Here is a 21,798-nt window from a genome sequence, read left to right on the forward strand (position 1 = left end):
AAGTGTGAACACATTGCAAATGATGCTCTATGACTAGATTATATAGTTTCTGTAAACATGACAAAACCTAATACAGTTATATATGGTTTAAAAGCATACAATTATACTTATTTTAAATTACTTAGACATTATCTTAATCCTATAATGGGATTCTTTCCCTGGGTTTTCTTGCTATGAAAACAAATTTTTTTAAGTTGTCCAGAAAACTCAGTTAATCAGTCTGTCCTTTTTTCTGCCTATGCTAGTTTACTTATGCATTGCTAATATCTCATGTTTTACTCTCAAACATGTTTTTAAATGTTGGGCTTATCCTACTATTTGAGCTTACTAGAAAATAAAGCCCCAGAAGAGCAGTAAAGTCAAAGTTATTTTCTGTATGAACCAAAGAAATTAGCAAATTATGTACTGCATGGCTTTCAACTTTAAAAAATGCCCCCTTGAGAGCCTGGACTTTTAAGTGCTAAAATCCATTGATTCTCTTTATAAGGTATGAAGTATCAGAGTAATCAGAGGGAGAGAAATACCACTTTTCAGTATCTCTTGAAAGAGACACTTACAAGCAGAATTACTTTACCCTGTTATAGAGATAAGCTATTTTTTTAATTTTTTTGTAGAGACAGGATGCTTCACTGTGCTGCCCAGGCTGGTCTTGAATTCCTGGCCTCAAGCAATCCTCCCACCACAGCCTCTGAAAGCATTAGCATTAAAGGTGTGAGCCACTGCACCCAGAGAGAGGCATTATAAGAGTAGTTTATAAGTAACTTTAGAATATTTATACCATGAGCTCCATCTTCAATAACATCATTACATATTAAAAACTGAAAACTCCCCCCAAAAGCCTATCAGCTGTGGCACAGCACCTAGCATGGTGTCTGGCACAGAGCAGATATTAATAAATACACATTAGAAAAAAAGTAAGCACATAAACCAGGTATTCACCATCCTAATGAAACAAAATATACTTTTCTAATTCTCTATCCTTCTGGTCATATAGATAATGAATTAAAATATGGCCAATATGACATTATCAGTTCAAAGTCACATAGCATAAAAAGTTCTGTATCTACTATTTTTAGAGTGTTTTTTATAAGTAATTCTATTGAGAAAAATATTTACAAGTTGCCCTAATTGCAACAAGTATCTCAGCAGAAATTTAGTTATTCTCAAGACATTCTCAGTGATTTAACATTTTCAACAGGCTGATTAAAATGGAAACGCTAAAAAGTTAGCATTAGAATAAAGAAGACAGGAAGAAGAGGGGTCAGATAAAGTGGTAAGACCTTGCACTGCATAACAATGTTTTGGTCAACATTGGACTGCATATATGACCACCGGTGGCCCTAAGATTACAGTGGAGCTGAAACATTCCTACTGTCTAGTGATGTCATATCTGTTGTAATGTCATAGATCAATGCATTAGTCATCCTTTGCACTTGTGCTTGTGGTGATGCTTGTGTAAACAAACCTACTGTGCCACCAATCATATAAAAGTTTAGCACATAAAATTATATACAGTACACATGTACATGATAATAAACAATCATCTTACTAGTTTATGTATTTACTATACTTTTAATGATTTAGAGTATTCTCTATTTACATTTTTTTTTTTTTGAGATGGAGTTTCGCTCTTGTTGCCCAGGCTGGAGTGCAATGGCTCGATCTCGGCTCACCGCAACCTCTGCCTCCCAGGTTCAGGCGATTCTACAGGCATGTGCCACCACGCCCGGCTAATTTTGTATTTTTAGTAGACACAGGGTCTCTCCATGTTGGTCAGGCTGGTCTCAAACTCTCAACCTCAGGTGATCTGCATGCCTCGGCCTCCCAAAAGTGCAGGGATTACAGGCATTAGCCACCACACCCAGACTTATATATATATTTTTAAGTTAACTCTAAAACAGCCTCAGGCTGGTCCTTTAGGAGGTATTTCAAAAGGGCACTGTTATTACAGGAGATGACTCCATGCCTATTGTTTCTCCTGAAGACCCTCCAATGGGACAAGATGTGGAGGTGGAGGACAGTGATGTTGATGATCCTGACCCCGCGTAGGCCTAGGCTAATGTGTGTATGTTTGTGTCTTAGTTTTACAAATGTTTAAAAAGTTAAAAAAAGTTTTTTAAATAGAAAAAAGCTTTTGAAATAAAGACATAAAGAAAGGAAATATTTTTGTACAGCTATATGATATATTTGTGTTTCTGAGGCAGGGTCTTGCTCTGTCACCCAGGCTGGAGTGCAGTGGCACCATCACGGCCCACTGTAGCCTTGGCCTCCTAGGCTCAATGCAATCCTCCTACTAGAGCCTCCGGATTAACTGGGACCACAGGTGCATACCACGACACTTGGCTAATTTTTATGTTTTTTTAAAGACAGGGTTTCACCATGTTGCCCAGGCTGGTCTCAAATGCCTGAGCTCAAGCAATCTGCCAGCCTTGGCTTCCCAAAGTATTAAGCTAAGTGTTACTACAAGAGTAAAAAAGTTAAAAAAAAATTTTAAGTTTACACAGTAAAAAAGTTATAATAAGCTAAGGCTAATTATTATTGAAGAAAACATTTTTATATAAAGTAGCCTAAGTGTACAGTGTTTATAAAGTCTATAAAGGTGTACAGTACTGTCTTAGTCCTTCACATTCACTTATCACTCACTCACTGACTCACCCAAAGCAACTTCCAGTCCTGCAAGTTTCATTCATGGTGAGTGCCCTATACAGGTATACCATTTTTTACCTTTGAGACTGTACTTTTTATTGTACCTTTTCTATGTTTAGGTATTTTTAAACATATAAATACTGTGTTACAACTGCCTATAGTAGTATTCAGTACAGCGGCATGCTGTACAGATTGTAGTCTAAGAGCAACAGGCTATATATACCATATAGCCTAAGTGCGTAGTAGGTTACACATCGAGGTTTTTATAAGTATACTCTATGATGTTCACACAGTGACAAAAGTGCCTCAGAACATATTCCCATTATTTAGTGATGCATAACTATAGTTGAATATTAAGTTACTACAGATTAGTTATGACTGAGCTGAGAAAACACATGCTGAAACAAAGACATACTTAGAGCTCTGATTCCTACCCCTTTAACGACTGTTGTACACTGCTCTCAAAGTCCACTTCCCAGTGCTTTAGAATATTTAAAATAGGCATTTTAATACGAAGTAGATTGTAGGATCTTTATACTTACTGGTAAATGTTCAAGTAATGAAGTTACACTCTCAGACACATATATTATGCTTCCATCTGTCATGATTGCTAAAAAAAAACCATCAAGAGCCTGAAATTAAACATAATGATATGTTAAATGAAAAGAAAAAAGTATTTTGCAGGACAGAAATAAAAATTTGAGATAAATGACAAAGGATTTAATATGGAAATATCCAAAGTTCTGTCAAAATATAATACTAGCTTTCCCCCTTTACAATACCTTGGTATGTATCTTTGTTCATTTTTAAATGCTTCTGGAGAAAAAAAGTCTCTCTCTGGCCATCTATTGGACAACTGGTCTCTAAAAGATAGAGACAATGTTCTACCTTCATCACTAGGTATATTACATGATCCAATCATGTATATACAGTATTATGGCTTATTTGAAGATGCTAATGTCTCCAAAGCATACAAGACATCAACAATGTTTTGTAGGCACACAAAGGAATACTTTGTTATTATCATGGATATGTTAACACAGAGGTGTACATCTGAAGTTTAAGGAGATATATGAAGAATAAAATAAAAGGGAGTAGCAGGAAATTAAGGTGAAAAATTAGGCTGAGTTCATATCATAAAAGGCTTTGAATATAAGGTTAAGACATAAGAATTTTATTCCGTATACAATGGTAAGCCAACAGAAGATTTTAGGGCAGGGGGCTGTGCTTCAATAAGAGTAGTGTGGAAGCAGGGTGTAAAATGGATTTAGAGGGAAAAGAAAATTCAGTTAGGAAAATCATAGTGGCTTTTGGACTAATTAAGGAAGTTAATGGGAATCTGAATGAAATCAGTAGTATTAGGAATAAAGAAAAGTACTTCGAGCAAGCATTGAGAAATGTGAAGTTCGATTTCAGAAGAGAAGTCAGAGCAGGGAGTACAAGACTTAATAAAAATGCAATTTTGTATTTTATACACTACAATGTATTTTCATTTGAGAATCCTAGGCACAGAAGTGACAGCTGAAGAAATGAGATCTACAAAAGACAAATCCTGGAAGAATTATCTACATATAAGGGATGAGGAAGAGAAAAAGGCCAGAGAAAATGACAGAGAAGCCTGCGTGCAGTGGCTTACGCCTGTGATGGTAGCAATTTGGGAAGCCAAGGCGGGAAGATCACTTGAACCCAGGAGTTTGAGACCAGCCTGAGCAACATGGCGAAACCTTGTCTCTGAAAAAAAATTAAAAAATTAGCCAGGTGTGGTGGCACATGCCTATGGTCCCAGCTGCTTGGGAGGCTGAGGCGAGATCACTTGAGCCCAGGAAGTTGAGGCTGCAATGAGCCACGACCATGTCACTGCACTCCAGCCTGAGCAACAGAGTGAGACCCTGTCTCAAAATAGTAATAAAAATTGAAATTACAAAAAAGAAAATGATAGAGAAGACAGAATACACTGTCGTCAAGGAATCAATGGAAGAAAGAATGACAAAGTGAAGAGGAGAGGAATGGTTTGGTATAAAATGAGATAAAGAATAAGAAAATGAGAAATGAATTTTGGTGATTTTCAAAAAGTTATGTTAACAGGAAGGCAAGTCGGACTACAATGAGTTTAAAAATGAGTACAAAATCAGAAGGCTATTACAAGTCACTCATTCATGAACTTTAGAAGGGAAGAAAAAGGCAAACAGTTCTAAGGGGGTGAAGTATCAAGAGAAGGCATTTGAAAAAAGAGCAAGTATATTTGTAGTCTAAGGGAAAGGAAGATCCAGTGGAGAAGAAGTAGAAGATACACAGCACAAAAGATACTATAAAAGGGATTCTTCTATTAAAATGGTCAATACACTAAATTCTAATTTCTTGTTTACTTAAATGGCTCTCGAAAAGGATAGTGACCTCTGATAGGAACCATGTATATCTTATTAATCCTTGTATCTGCAGCACTAGTGTAGCGCAAGTAAAAATACTTGCAGTATATAATTTATAGAGCTGGGAGTTAGAGTAACCTTTCCTAACTCTATGTAATTGACGAATATATAGAAAATGGTCCCCTCCCCCTTGTCCCCCCCCTTCTTTTGGGAAAGAGATCTGGATATCACAAAGAACTTATTTTAAGTAGATGCCTATCTTCTAGAATGGCTCAAACAAACCCAGTCTTTGCTAATATAGAAGTAGAAATCTTGTCATTCGAGCAAACTCATGAATTATTTTTTTAAATCCTTTAGTACAATAATGCCAGTATTATTATTTCATAATAGGGTCAAAAGTAGACAACTGTTCGCCAGGCTTACACCTGTAATCCCAGCACTTTGGGAGGCCAAGGTTGGTGGATCACCTGAGGCTGAGTTTGAGACCAGCCTGACCAACATGGTGAAAGCTCGTCTCTACTAAAAATAAAAAAAATTAGCTCGGCGTGGTGACACATGCCTGTAATCCCAGTTACTTGGGAGGCTAAAGCGGAAGAATCACTTGAATCTGGGAGGCAGAGGTTGCAGTGGGCAGATTGTGCCACTGCACTCCAGCCTGGGCGACTAAGCAAGACTCCGTCTCCCAAAAAAAAAAAAAGAAGACAAGTGTTCCTCAATTTCCCCATCTGAAAGCAAGAAACAGATACTATTGTCTACTTCATAATACCAGCTATTATGACACACAGATACTAGTGTTTACTTCATAAGAGTATTGTAAGGATTCAGTGAGTTAATATATAAAAATTATTCACTTATTTTTCTGATTTAAAGTACAGGTTTAAATGTTTATAATATATTTATACTCTAACAAATTTTCGTATGGTAACATTTCTGCTGAATACATAAAGAATTAATCACACAATTAATTGTCCCATCTAAAATACAAACAGAAAAATAACTCAATTTGCAAAATACTCTACCTTGCTTCAGACTTGAGACGTGGCTATAATCTATTTATACAGGCATACCTTGTTTTATTGTGCTTCGCTTTATTGAACTTCAGTTACTGGGTTTTGTTTTGCTTTTTGTTTTTTCACAAAGTGAAGGTTTGTAGCAACCCTGGGTCAAGCAAGTCTATCAGCATCATTTTTTTTAATAGTATGTGTTCACTTTGTGTCTCTTGTGTCACATTTTGGTAATTCTTGCAATATTTCAAACTTTTTCCATTATTATTATATCTGTAATGGTGATTCGCCCACATAAGGTGGCGAATTTAAATGTTGTGTGTGCTCTGACTGCTCCACCAACTCACTGGCCATTCCCCCATCCCTCTCCCTCTCCTTGGAGCTCCCCATTCCCTGAGACATACAACAATACTGAAATTAGGCCAATTAATAACTCTACAATGGCCTTTAAGTATTCAAGTGAAAGGAAGAGTCCCTCATCTCTGACTTTAAATCAAAAGCTAGATGTGATTAAGCTTAGTGAGGAAGGCATGTCGAAAACTGAGACAGGCCAAAAGCTAGACCTCTTGCAACCAAACAAGTAGCAAAGTTGTGAATGAAAAAGAAAAGTTTTAGTGAACACATGTATGATAAGAAAGTGAAAACAGCCTTATTCCTGATATGGAGAAAGTTTGAGTGGTCTGTACAGAAGATCAAACCAGCCACAACATCCCCTTAAGCCAAAGCCTAATCCAGAGGCCTTAATGCTCTTCAATTCTGTGAAGGCAGAGAGAGTTAAGGAAACTACAGAAGAAAAGTTAGAAGAGAACAGAGGTAGGTTCATGAGGTATAAGGAAAGAGGCCATCTCCATAACATAAAAGTGCAAGGTGAAGCAGCAAGTGCTGATGTAGAAGCTAGAGCAAGTGATCCGGGAGACCTGGGTAAGATCATTGATGAAGGTCGCTACACTAGATACCAGAGTTTCAGTGCAGATGAAACAGCCTTCTATTGGGAGAAGATGCCATCTAGAACTTTCGTAGTTAGAAAGGAGAAGCCAAAGCTGGCTTCAAAGCTTCAAAAGACAAGCTAACTCTCTTGTCAGGGGCAAATGCAGCTGGTGACTTTTAAGTTGAAGCCAATGTTCATTTGCCATTCTGAAAGTCCCAAAGCCCTTAAGAAGTATGCCCTATAAATAGAGCAACAAACCCTGGATGACAGGACATCTGATGACAGCACATCTGTTGACAACATGGCTTACTGAATATTTAAAGCCCACTGTTGAGACCTACTGGTCAGAAAAATAGATTTCTTTCAAAATACTATTGCTCGCTGACAATGTACTTGGTAGCCCAAGAGTGCTGATGGAGATGTACAAGGAGATTAATGTTGTTTTCATGCCTGCTAACACAATACCCATTCTGCAGCCCATGGGTCAAGGAATAATTTTGACTTTCAAGTCTTATTTAAGAAATACACTTCATAAGGCTACAGTTCCCATAGATAGTGATTCATGTGATGGATCTGGGCAAAGTCAACTGAAAACCTTCTGGAAAGAATTCACCCGTCTAGATGGCATGAGAAGATTTCTGATTCATGGGAGAAGGTCAAAATATCAACATTACCAAGAGTTAAGAAGAAGTTGATTACTTGTGGATAACTTTGAGGGGTTCAAGATGTCAGTGAAGGAAGTAACTGCAGATGTGGTAGAAACGGCAAGAGAATTAGAATTAAAAGTGGAGTCTGAAGATGTGACTGATTGCTGCAATCTGCTAATAAACCCGAACTGATGAGGAGTTGCTCCACTGATGAGTAAACAAAGTGATTTCTTGAGATCGACTCTACTCCTGAAGAAGATGTGAATACTGTTGACATGACAGCAAAGGATACAGAATATTACATAAATTTAGTTGATAGAGCAGCAGCAGGGTTTGAGAGTACTGACTGTAATTTTGAAAGAAGTTCTACTCTGGGTAAAATGCTATCAAACAGCACTGCATGTTACAGAGAAATCTTGAAAGGAAGAGTGAATCAGTGTGGCAAACTTCATTGCTGACTCATTTTAAGAAATTGCCGTAGCCACCCCAACCTTCAGCAACCACCACCCTAATCAGTTAGTAGCCACTGACACTGAGGCAATACCTTCCACCAGCAAAAAGATTAAGACTTGCTGAAGGCTCAGATGATTGTTAGCATTTTTTAGCAATAAAGTATTTTTAAATTTAGGTATGATCAGTATTTTTTATATAATGTTATTACACACCTAATAGACTACAGGGAAACAAAACAATTCATGTGACTCATTTTACTGAAATATTAGCTTTATTGCAGTGGTCTGGAACTCAACTCGCAATATCGCCAAGGTACACCTGGATATTAAGTCACCCTGTGATTTCTTTTTTGAGGAAAATAAAACTTTCAAAAATTAAATCTGGACATACCTCTAACATTAATTGTGTAAACTCTTCATTACTAAGGAATGTAGGTTTCCAGTCCTGTCGAATTTCACTAGCATCTGACTGTGCAGTGATTTCTGTAAACAGATTGACATATTAGTGGCATACTCCAACCACCGGAGGAGTACAAAAGCCCTACAAGTTATCTTGTCTCTTCCCATTCTAATTAAAGATGACAACCGTAGGCATTAACATTTATTGGGTAGATATCAAGAGGTCCAGGTTTTGGTATGATGAAATATTTGAGATAACATGGCAAGTTATCTCCTTGGATTTGGTCTCTTGGTAATACCAGTCTCTTCGGTTTTTCTCTTGGTACTCTGATAGTTATGTTGCTGATGGGCCTGAGATTGCTTCCTATTTGACACAATGACCAAAGAAGATTTTTGCTCCAAGAATTTTGAAGCAATTCTTTTTTTCCTTTTCCTTCCCTTGCCATTCAAATAGCAATGTCTAGAGCAGCACTAGGGAAATTAGCTGAAAAAGGCCAAAGAGGTCACTAGGTTTGCTTTCAACAAAGAATGCCTTAGGCCTGCCTACTGCTGGGCAAAAAGCTTCTTCCCAACATTAAGTGCTCTATCTTAATTAATCAAAGAGACTAAATTAATATTTTATGCAAAAACTTTACTACAGTAATATTCCCACAGTGATTTTTCTTAGTGTCCTCCTTGTACAACAGTAGAGAGATGGTGAAAAATTTGGAGATCCCTGCTGTGGGACATATGTTTGTCACAATTATTACCATTTTATTTCACTACATACTTCTAATAGATTTAGTTATGAAAAAGCTATTCATAAATGATGAAACCTAGTAACAAATGTTTTTCTATTTTTTAATGTAGACATATTAAAACAAGCAGGCAGAATAAAAATCTATGTCATAGACTATATTCTACAAAATATACTCTAATTTGTAGTAAGAAGTATAAACTAAATTCTGATTTTATCATCAGATAGAGAAATACAGCATACTGTCCCTCATCAAAAGTTAGCATATTAGAAATGCCTGTAGTGGAATATGAAGAGTAACTAAGAAGTAGAGCTACTAAATGTGCGGAATACAGTTGTGTTTTTCAAATTCACATCAATTATATACATTTGGGAAAAGGATTTAAATCCACAAACAAATCCAATCAAGTTTCATTAAACATAGGCCTATTTTAGGATGATACATATATAAAATCCTTTTACCTTAACAGAAATACTATTTTTGTGAGAATTATGTATCTGATTTTGAAAAAAAAAATTACCTAATGCCACAATTCATCCTCTATTGACGGGGAAATATATGCATTTCATTTCATTCAACAACCATTTATTGAACTCCTAGTATCTTTGGACTGGTTTCAATGAGTGTGCCATTTAACAATAGGCACTGAGGTTAGTGAGATACTATCTGTAGAGGTAAAATGTAATAATAGTGGTGGCAATAAATATTGACACATTTACGAAAGAATCAACAGAATTTGGCAACTGTGATATGGTGCTAAGGAAGCTGAAAAAAAATCCTAAAATTTTTTCAGGTTTAAGTCTTAGGTGACTAAAAGGATGGTGGTATAAAAATGAAAAAAGGCAAGTTAAGAGAAAGAGGTAACTTGACAAAATGAAAATAAATTCAATTTTAGATGCACTGAGTTTGAGGACATGCAAAAGAAAGATCTAGAAGTTATCTGGAAATACATGGCTAAAATGTTTGCATCTAAAAATAGAAATCTGGTAGGTTAATAGAGACACAATAGCTGAAGCTATGGAATGAGATAAGCAAGAGAAAGAGTGTACAGAAAGCAAGAGAACAAGGATAAGACTTAGGAATGTCACATTTAGAGGGTAGAAAGAGAGGAAAGAAGTTAGTTTCAGTTAGAAAAGGGGAGGAGAAAGTACAATATAAGGGAAGCCAAGGGAGGAGGGATAAAAATTTCCAGTGCTGTACAGATGCAGAAGAAGATGCGGTATAAGAAAAAGCTATTGCTTTATTGAGGGATAGGAAGGTAATGTCATTAGTGAAATTAACAAAAACACTTTCAACGAGTGGTGGAGCATAAACCAGTCCTGTAAGGCATTACCAACTGAGCTAGGCAGAAGTAAAACAGAGGCACTAATTACTAACTGTCCTGAGTTTTACAGTTTCATTTGCATTTGAAAAAGGAAATTTCCTTTTACAGGTTTTTTTTAAATCTATTATTATCTGTTACCAAAATACTTAATATTCTTTAAATTTTCTTTCCATGACTCATTTGTCAAGATGATTTTCTTCTATTAACAAATACTTTATTTTATAGTGTTGATTTACTAGATATACATTGAAACCTTTTAAAATGACACATAAGAACTTTATACTATCCAGCTTTTTCCTTTCTTTCAAATACACCCATAATTTTCCAACACAAACATGCTTCAGTGACAATGAAGTCTCCCTGCCTCTCTGCTTTTGCACATATTCCCTTTGTGTGACATGCTGTCTTCCTTAATCTAAAAGACTCAGTTGAAAAATCAACTATTTTAAAAGTCTCCCTGACATACTCTTTCCTGTGTTTTTGCTGCAAACAGTTTACAAGCACTACTCACATTTGTAATTATGTGCTTACATGTTTGTCTGCCCTGGCTTGACTTAACTTCAAATCCAGGACTGTTACCCTGCATCATGAGGATTTAGCATGTAGTAGGCACGGAATAAATGTTTGTTGAATGAAAGAATGAACATATTAGGAAACCTTTTAAAATGCAATTGATTTCTCTCTCTTAAAAAAGCCAAGGAAGCATCCAATCTTAAGCATCTCTGCCAAGATTCTAACTAATGCTTTGAGAGTCTGTTCCATTTTACAGAGTTAAAAATTTACCTTTATGTTTTCGTAAAAAATCAATGCTTTTCTGCAGAACAGTAGATTTGTCCATCTTTCTAGCATTACCAGGAAGCATGGATCCCAGTTCTTTAATGAGAACATTAAATTGATCTCTACGTTTCTTTTCAGATTTGTTTCTAGATACTCTGATGAAATGAAAAATATGCATTTTTTAAACAATCCATTTAATTACACAAGTAGTTTAATACAATGTTAATTTAGACATGACACAGCATGTACTTCTATCAACATAGATGGTAACAAATATCTTCCAGGTTACCAATATACAGTTAATTTGGGCAATAATTTTTCAGCTCAGTTTATTACTAAAGAAAATTTTACAAATCATACATTTGACAAACATGTTTTTATGAAAATGCCAATAAGAAAAACTGCATTCAAATCACAAGTTTTATTCAATCTAATACTTCCAGTGATTGTTAACTTACATGGTTATTATAAATATATGTACTAAATGAATAAAGACGCTATTCTATGTGAAGCAGTAACCAGTAAACAAACAGCTATTGAGAAAAACTTGATTATTTATAAAACAATCATTTTATGATACCTGTAATTATCTGCTTTGAAGTCAGATTTTCTAATTCAGTTTCTGTTTAAGCAAAGCATAATACTTTTCCAAAAGGTCAGAAGATATTTAATTTATAAACTACATACCAATATTCTAAGTTCTTCCACCTTGCTAATATATCTAAACTCCTAAAGCACATAGCTTTTGGAAATCATTTATTCACTATTTATTTACCATTATATTTATCTATTATTCATTCATTTACTATTTTATATCTCTAATCAAACTACCTTTTCGCTTTGTCCTTGTCATCTTCTTCCACCAACCCATCAAAAATACTACTGTCATCTCTAAAAGAAAGCGGATAGAGAAAGTAAGAGCAGACTCACTAAGCAACAGCAATACTAAAGTGACATGTAAATCAACTCAGTTATGCCCTATGATTTTTGTAAAGTTAATGAGTTATAACATTCAAACTACTAACCTATTTCCTAGTAAACATTCAAAAATCAAAATTCAGTAATAATTATATTTTTAAGCTTATTACATAAATTGTAAAAGTATTTATACTTAGCTATATTATGAACACATCATGCTAAACAAGAATTTAACCAGTTTAAATATCTTGTTTCAAACTTTTAGTAACGGTAAAAACGTATAGAAAGTCAGTGTTTGCCATTATATAAAATTATTTTTAACTATAACAGCATAATTTAAATTTTTTCTTAGATATTTACTTTCTAAAACCACAATTACTCGTAAACATCACAATGTAATGCATTAACTTATATTAATACATTTCATTCATTTACTAATTCATTTGACAAATATGTATTAGCACTCATGTGCTCTGTTCTGGACATGTTTAGTAAGCAATGAATAAGACATTTAGCTGCTTTCCTACAGTTTTTCCTTCTTTTTCCTTTTTTTCTGGAGACAGGGTCTTACTCTGCTGCCCAGACTGGAGTGCAGTTGCACAAACATGGCTCACTGCAGCCTCAACCTCCTGGGTTCAAGAAGTCCTCTTGCCTCAGCCTGCTGAGTAGCTGGGACCACAGGTACATGCCACCATGACTGGCTAGTTTTTTTATATTTTTGTAGAGATGGGGTCTTGCTATGTTGACCAGGCTGGTCTTGAACTCCTGGGCTCAAATGACCTTCCTATCTCAGCCTCCTAAAGTGTTGGGATTACAGGTGTGAGCTGCCGTACCCAGCCTCATTTTCTAGTAGATAGAAACAAGTATAAAAATGGGAGATGAGGCTAGGCGCAGTGGCTCACGCCTGTAATCCCAGCATTTTGGGAGGCCGAGGCGGGCGGATCACGAGGTCCAGGAGATCGAGACCATCCTGGCTAACACAGTGAAACCCAGTCTCTACTAAAGATACAAAAACTTAGCCGGGCGTGGTGATGGGCAACTGTAGTCCCAGCTACTCAGGAGGCTGAGGCAGGAGAATGGCGTGAACCCAGGAGGTGGAGCTTGCAGTGAGCCGAGATCGTACCACTGCACTCCAGCCTGGCCAACAGAGTGAGACTCTGTCTCAAAAAAAAAAAAGAGATGAGTTTTAATTTTTTTTAAAGGGGTGATGTTTTAGTAACTGCAGTCTGAGCGGTTAGTGGGGGACACGTGAGCTAGGATCTAAGTGACAAGAAGGGGCTGGCTATGGGAAGATGTAAGGAAAGACCATTCCTAAAAAATAAAATCAAGAGCATTGGTGGCTAACTCAACCCTAGGAGCAATATTAAAGTTTCTGCTGATTTATGAAGTTTTACATAAATTCCCTATTCACTCCTTTAGCCACACCTTTCTATGGCCTATAAAGGCCTATATGCTATAAAATGGAGTCACTATTGAGATCACCTGTAACACTCATATCATGGTGGAGGTGCATGTATGAACTTGGGGATTCCATGTAGGCCCTGAAATTTATAAAAAATTGTTATATGTATATGAATTTTCCGAGAACAGAGTTCATAACTTCCATGACATTCAGAGATAAGGAACCCATATTAATAATCACTGCTTTATGTCTGAAAATACAAATGTCATCCCTAGGTGTCATACTATCTAGAATGGGAAAAGCATAATGCCAAATTCATATTTTATCCATCAAAGGCAGTGAAGAAATATCTTTTCCAAGAAAAAGACTATCATTAATTCCGCCTGTAACTATGGCACAGTTCAAAGCTATTGACATGGTGCAGGCAGGCTTCTTTAAGGAAGTTTCTTGCTCCTCACATCTTAAGTTCTGGTGGAGTATACATCTTTACTATCTAGCTCATAAAAAGGGAGAAGAGCTGTCCCCAGATGTCAAAAGTCACTTCTGTGTACAAGTCTAGCTGCAAAACTCTTAAAGAATCCCAATGGATGGAGCACACCGAACAGTGCAATAAACGCATTAACAACTTTAATGTCAGACAAACCAACACAAGTAAAAATTCCAGATCATATCTTACTAGCTATGTGACTTTAAACAAGTTATTTAACCTCTCTGACCTACAGTTTTCTCATTTGTAAAATCTTGCAGAATTATTGAGGTTAAATAACATGTAAAAAAGTATTCTGTACATTTGCTGTCAGAGTAGATGCTTTAAAAATGTTGTTGGATTATATCAAATTTAAGATATTATTGACTGTTAAGATCACCACTATTTTATGTGCCCTTAAGAAAGAAAAAAAGAGTGCTACCAATTAAATTATGATAAGAGATGCTAAAATGTAAAAAACAAAGACAACTTAAAGTCTTTTCTTTTCTACTTTTACTTTAGGTTCAGGGGTACCTGTGTAGGTTTTTCATGCGGGTAGACTACGTGTCGCTGAGGTTTGGTGTACCAATGATCTCACCACCCAAGTAGTGAGCACAGTACCCAATAGTTTTTTAACCCTCACTGCCCCCTTCCACCCTCCTCCAAAAATTTCAAGTATTAAAATCAAAGGAATATGGAGATTTACCCTTTTCCCAAGAGTATGATGTAAAGATTACAATTTTAACTAATGAAATCCTAATTATAGTTACTTCTTATCAGTCACAAATGCTAAGATGCTTGAAGGGATGAAGTTAGATAAGAAGAAAAAGGACTCCAGAAGGTTCCAAGGAAACATTTGCAACTGTCAGAATTTCCTTCAGAGCAGCTATGACCAAATCACTAAAAATTACAAGTCAGGACTCATTTAAAACACACAAGCCATATGCTGCTGACTTTGCCTCTGGAAAATACTGATATACCTTACTTATTTTTTTATACTATATTTGTTTAATACAGAAACTGAATGCAATAGTAATTATGTTTAGGCATAAAATTCCTTCTATCAATTTCATATAGACCATTATTCTAATAGTGCATTTTAAAATAATTATATATAACTTAAAATAAGTCTTCAAAAACATACCTGTCAACAATCGAGCTCATTTTACTACAGCTTACGGTAAACAACATAACATACTACGTTTTCGTCTTGTAGTAGACATTTGTACTTCTCCTTAGGTGAAAAGAAAAATAAATGGTCATTAGTTTTCTAAAAATGTTACTTCCACAAACTTATCTTGAGAAATACTATATGTTATCACAGAGACTTCAAAACGTTTTGTTTGTACTGAAGATCAGAACATTATTTTCAAGCAAATACCTATGGCTGAGGTACATTTGAGGCTTCTTTTCCCCTCCTAAAAAACACCTACAAGAAAAAAAGTAATTCAGGCTCATATTAACTTTCTCTTTACTATCAATCAAAATAAAATGGACATTCTCAATATTCAGTATATATTTGACTATATAACTACAAATAGTCTGTAATAACACCATCTATTCAGCAATAAATATTTGTTGAAAGCCTATTTTCTGCTAAACAGTACAGCAGGCTTTGGGCACATAACAGTGAAAGACACAGTCCCTGTAGGAAAAATTTGCAATTGAGCAGGAAGATAGATATCTAAATAATTATAATAAGAGGTATAATGAAGGTATATACTGTGTAATGCTATCACTGGGCAAGGAACAATTATGTCTACCCGTGGGAATTAGAGAGGGGAAACGAGGAAATATTCTTGATGACAGTAAGTCTGTCAGGGAGTCAAAATTCTTTTTTAATGCAAATATGGTGCAGGGATGGGCAGCATCACCATCCTCTGAGAGCTTGTTTTCAAAGGCAAAATCTTAATGAACCAGAATCTACATTTTCACAAGGGCTCCACGTGATAATGTATGACCACTTAAGTTTGAGAAGCAACAGGCTGGAGGACAGAAACAGATAATAGGTGAAAGAATTTTAAGCGACAGGAATGGCAATTTGTAAAGGCACAGGCCTTAGTGAGACAAAAGAATATCGTATTTGAGAAACTAAGAGGTTTAGCATTTTCCTTATGAAAAACCTGGGATGTTACAATTTAAAGTTATAATTACTAGACCATAAAGTTTGAGAATACAAGTGGTAAACTGGCAAAGGCAAGTCAAGTACAGGAGAGTCTTACTATAAAGAGTCTCATACCCAAATTGAAGGAAGTAAAACTTACTGCTTTAAAGCTGGATCACAAGCCTAAAATTTGTCTCTCTATATTCTATAGGTTGAGTATCCCTAATCTGAAAACCTGAAATCCAAAATACTCCAAAATCTGAAAGCTTTTGAGCATCAACATAATGTTCAACATTCAAAGGAAATGCTCAACGGAGCATTTCTAAACCAGAGAAGATTAAAGATATTACAAGAACGTGAGATTCTAAACATTCAGTCACTGTTTTCAAATGCACCTTCATGAAAGGAAAGGAGAATAACCCTGGCAACATTGCTGCATTGCCTGTATGGTTATGGCTGCAGAAGTAGAACTGTGAGGGGCTCAGAATATTTTTTTTTCTTTTTGTTTTTGAGATGGGGTCTTACTCTGTTGCCCAGGGTGGAGTGCTGTGGCATGATCATAGCTCACTGCTGCCTTGAAATCCTGGCCTCAAGCAATCCTGCCACTTCAGCCTCCTGAGTAGCTGGGATTACAGGTGCTCGCTACCATACCCAGGGCTAAGAGTTCTTAAAAGAAAATGAGTGACAGAGTCAAAGATAGAAATAATAAAATAAAAAGGACTAACACCAGGATGAAAAGTTGTGATTTTAAGTGTCTGAGGTAGTATCAGCAGATGGAACACAGAACTACAGAATTTTAGAGGTAGAAGAGAATTTAAAGACCACCTAAGTACATTTCTCTGGTCCAACAGACATATTTATCTTCATGGTAAGAAGTGAGGCTGATTCTATCACTAGAAGAGGAAGAACAGTATAAAAGTAATAGGGCAAATTTCAGTGAATTCAAAAAGAATTGTTAAGAGTAAAAAGTTCAAAAGGCCAGATCTGAGCCTTATAAGGCACCCAGTAAGTATGGCTTAATTATCAAAAGGTAGAAAATAAGACAAACTACCAAAAAAAGGGCAGGGGGTGGTGGCGGGGACTAGGCAACGCCAAGAATTAAGGGTTATACTACAGGAAAAGCCTTGCTGACTACTAGAAGGGTGAATCCAATATAGTTTAGAAGATGCAGGCTGATGCTTTATTAGGCTGTTTTACTATTGTTGTTAACAATATTCTTCCAAAAATTATTTGTCGTCCAGCTAATAGAACAACGTAAGATCTCTCTCTCTCTCTCTTTTTTTGAGACAGGGTCTCCCTCTGTGGCCCAGGCTGGAGTGCAGTGGCACGATCTCATCTCATTGCAACCTCCGCCTCCCAGGTTCAGGTGATTCTCCTGCCTCAGCCTCCTGAGTAGCTGGGATTACAGGCCCAGACCACCACAAGCCAGCTAATTTATCTATTTTTAGTAGAGATGGGGTTTCACCATATTGGTCAGGCTGGTCTCGAACTCCTCAACTCTGGTGATCCGCCTGCCTCAGCCTCCCAAAGTGCTGGGATTACAGGTGTGAGCCACCATGACCGGTCAGATATAACTCTTAACAGTCTAGCACAAGATCTTCATCTTTCCAGCCAATTGACATACACATTTTACTTAAGGGAAAGGAGTAAGTAAAATAGGCTGGACATGCACCCTAGAGCAAATGTTAGAAGATTTCCCTAAACTTTTAAAAATGGTGTCAAATTAACTTTAACAAGACAAACTGGTAAGGTGGAACAGCCAAAATACTTTGTTTGCAGACTACTGCAAGTCCCACGCTTTCAATTCAGAAAGAGACTAGCTAGAGTCACACTTGTCCATGCTGTGGAGTCTAAGGATACAGATGCCATGCCACTTCCCTACACAAGCTGAAGTGGAATGTCAAACATATAATCTAATATAGAATACATTTCATTATTTTTTAAGTTCGACATTAGACCACAAAGATATGCAATGTCTTCAAAAGGATCAGTTGCAGTTACTGGAATCCAAAATTCACCAGTTTTATTTAAAAAAACTAAAATAGTATAATTGGATTGTTTATAACACAAAGGATAAATGCTTGAGGGGATGACATCCCATTTTACATGGCATAATTATTACATATTGCATGCCTTTATCAAAACATCTCATGTACCCCATAAATAAATATATATACTAGGTACCCACACAAATTAAAATTAAAATTAAAAATTCCAAAAAACAAAGTTCCCCAACTATAAAGGATCAAGTTACAGCTAGGAATCAAATGCTCCTTTACTTAAGCAACTTGAGATCAGAGTCATCTGGTGATATGACTTCCCAGCTCAACATGTATCACATTACTATTTTATTCATACACATGCACATTTCCCCAATTTCTCAATATCATAATTTTGGTTAGGTGGTTATATTTGGAGTTAACATCATTATGACTCCGTAAATGCCAATTCACAGCTAAGCCATATAGTATACTATAATTACTTTTCCTTTTGAGCAGTTTTTCCTAGAGTTACCATTTTGTTGTTTACCTAGTTTTGTTTATACTTACTACCAACTTAACTACAAATTCTTCCCTGTCTGTATCTACTATTTCTTCAAACACATTACACATTCTACCAATTTCACCTTCTCACAGTAGTATCTCTAGAAATCTTCCAACCTGTTTCTATTGGGACTGGAAACTATCTACTAACCTGAGGACAAGCTGTCTTCTTGTGATCATTATTCATCATCATCCTGGTGATTCCCTGGGTCTCTAGTTAGGTCATATTCCCTGTTACTTGTATCCTATGCCTTCATCTTTTTTAGTTTACTTCTTTATTTTTGTTGAGTAATTCCTCCAATAACTGCCTAAGAAAGGGGACATGACAGGTAAATTTTTTAAGGCTTCGTAAGTCTAAAACTGTCATTAGTCTATCCTTAATCAACAGTTTAGTTGGATACTGAATACCTGGTTGAAAATCACTTTTCCTTCTGAATGCTGAAGACTCCACTATCTTCTAGCTTCCAGTGTGGTGTCAAGAAGTGCAAAGCCATTCTGATTACTGATCCTTTAGATGTGACCTGTTATTTATTTCACTCTGGAAACTCCCTTGTTTTCTAAAATTGAACAGTGATGTGCCCTGTTTTGGCTTTTTATATCTGTACTGGTCACTCAACAGGCTTTTCCTAACTGGTAACTCATGTCCTCTAATTCTGGAGAGTTTTCTCGAGTTGTTCTCTATTCTTTGTTTTTCCCCTCTGTTTCCTCTCTCTCCTTCTGGAGCACTTATTTGAACATTGGAGATCCTGGACAGTTGTAATTTTCTTATTTTTTCTCTACCATTTTCCATTTCTTTGGCTCTTTGCTCTACTTTCAATAGATTTTATTTTTCAACCTTTCCAATGAATTTTTCATTTCTAATTTCATTTCTTACTGTTTCTCGTTCATACTTCATGGATATAGCATCCCTCTTACCTTTATGTAAGGTTTGTGTTTAATTTTCGCCCACCTAACTGCTCTCCATTTCCCCTAACTTGGTGTTTTACCTTTTGGTTTGGCCTTTGTCTTGCACATAAGAGGTTTTTCCTCAGCTGTCTACTGATCTCTGAACATGAGCTCACATTTAAGGGTAAGCGCTAAAAAAACTGAAGCTCTGTGTGATACAGCTTGCTGACTGTTAACTTTACTGTAGGGCTATCAGGTTGAAATATTTCTTTGGGGAATTCTCAATGTCAGAATCTTTAGATCTTTTAAGATGATTATAATTCAGAGAAAATAATTATGTATCTTCTCAACTCTTGCCTGAAGAGTATAAAAACCTGGTACCCTGGGTTCTTAACCCTTCTATTTTTAACATGTCACCCCCATTCTCAGCCATGTTTGTGGCTCCTTTATTTTATCCTTACTAGGGAATAAATCTCCAGACTTCTGCTAAGATAGGAAAAAGGTGGCTGCCTTGGTTCCAAAGTTAAGAAAAGGATCCATGGAATATAATTACCCCTTAAACAGATTTGCAACAAATCATCCTGTTTTAGTTCCACCATCACTCCTATTTCCAGAAATAGTTTTCAATTCATGAAAATTATAGAGGTTCTACAGTGCCAAGAAGTTTGTTTCAGCTTTCCCACAGCAGGCTTAGGATCCTGGGATTTGCAAGAAAGTTACTATGCTCCCTTTTGCAGTCCCAAATTTTGTTGCTACTGTTTCTTCTCCATTCTCTCTGTCCTGTTATGTCTTTCGTAAAAATCTTCTTACTTTAGCTTCAGTGAGGTTTCAAGAGAAAATAAAATTTAATTGTATTGTTTGCCATCTCTAGCAGTTTCCCATATTCTTTCATCACTCTTAATTAGGCTTTCATCCCCACCACTCCACTCAAATTGCTCACTCTTATTAGTTATCCCAAATCTCCATATTGCCAAGTCTAATGGCTGTTTTATTCTCTATTTGACCGTTAAGCAATATGTGATGTAGACGACCACTTCTGCATTTATTAAATACCTTCTTTTCTTGATTCCAGTGACAGAATATTCTCCTGCTTTTGTACTCATCTTGCTGGCTGCTCCTTCTCCTCTAATTAATACTGGCATGTGCCAGGGCTGAATCCTTCTAAATCTGTATACACTTCCTAGATAAATCACACTTCTACATGCCAATGACTCCCAAATCCACACCCCTAGAATAGATTGTCAAATGCAGTCAGATATCCAACTGCTTTTTAGACATTTCTACAGATTTTAAAGGTGTCCAAAATGTCATATACTTAAAACAGAACACTTAACTTTCTTCTGTAAATTTGCTTCTCTCCCAGTTTTTTCCCCCAACCTGATCTCCATATATTCTCCCCATCATTTACTGTATTCCAGTCACATTATGCTCTTTATGTTCCTCAAACATTTCATTGTCTTTCTTGTTCTCACTATCTATAAAGCTCTTCTCTCAGATCTTCACACAGCTGGCTCCTTTTGCCATTCCGATCTCAATTAAAATTCCCCTTTTTCAATTAGGCTATCTCTGACTGCCTAATGAAAGCAGTCACCAGTCTCTACCACATTATCCTTTTTTTTGTACACGTAAGACAAGGTCTCACTCTGTCTCCCAGGCTGGAATGCAGTGACACAATCACAGCTCACTGTAGCGTCAACCTCCTAGGCTCAAGTCCTCCTGCCTCAGCCTCCCAAGTAGCTGGGATCACAGGCATACGTCATCATGCCCAGCTAATTTCTAAATTTTTGGTGGAGATGGGGTCTCACTATGTTGCCCAGGCTGGTATCAAACTTCTAGGCTTACACAATCCTCCCACCTCAGCCTCCCAAACTGCTAGGATTACAGGCACAAGCCTTACAGTGCCCAGCCTTACACTATCCATTTATCCATTTTAATTCTCTGCACAGTACAAACCACAAATTTCTCACTTGTGTATTATTTGTGTTTCTCACTTGTGTATTATTCTTCTTCTAGAAGGCGGTTCTCATGACAGCAGGGACAGCTTCTGTCTTGTTCATCACTGAATCCCCAGTATCTAAAGTAATTATCGGAACATAGCTGGTACTACGTTTGGTGGTAAATTAACACACAAAAATTTTTTTAAATTAAACTTTCCTTAAATTAGTGTGTCAAAATAGTTGATGAATTCTTTTATTTTTCT

General features: G+C 36.4%; 1 protein-coding gene across 17 annotated transcripts in view; it reads right to left on the reverse strand.

Annotated features, from left to right (window-relative positions):
- CLOCK (clock circadian regulator) overlaps positions 1-21,798 on the reverse strand; it is a 119,007-nt gene that overhangs the window by 39,626 nt on the left and 57,583 nt on the right. For 8 of the 17 annotated variants that reach the window (XM_011534410.3, NM_004898.4, XM_011534411.3 and 5 more), the window contains 5 exons: positions 15,211-15,300; positions 12,112-12,171; positions 11,287-11,435; positions 8,435-8,526; positions 3,189-3,278 (listed from right to left, as the gene is read on the reverse strand). In XM_011534410.3, coding sequence (XP_011532712.1) covers positions 3,189-3,278; positions 8,435-8,526; positions 11,287-11,435; positions 12,112-12,171; positions 15,211-15,257 — 438 coding nt within the window. In that variant the 5' untranslated portion in view covers positions 15,258-15,300. Of the gene's footprint in view, positions 1-3,188; positions 3,279-8,434; positions 8,527-11,286; positions 11,436-12,111; positions 12,172-15,210; positions 15,301-18,864; positions 21,673-21,798 lie in introns of all 17 variants that reach the window. The other 9 variants (XM_047416432.1, XM_017008854.2, XM_047416439.1 and 6 more) reach the window with 2 other exon arrangements.

Source organism: Homo sapiens, chromosome 4, assembly GCF_000001405.40.
Source record: "Homo sapiens chromosome 4, GRCh38.p14 Primary Assembly".
Taxonomy (NCBI): Eukaryota; Metazoa; Chordata; class Mammalia; order Primates; family Hominidae; genus Homo; species Homo sapiens.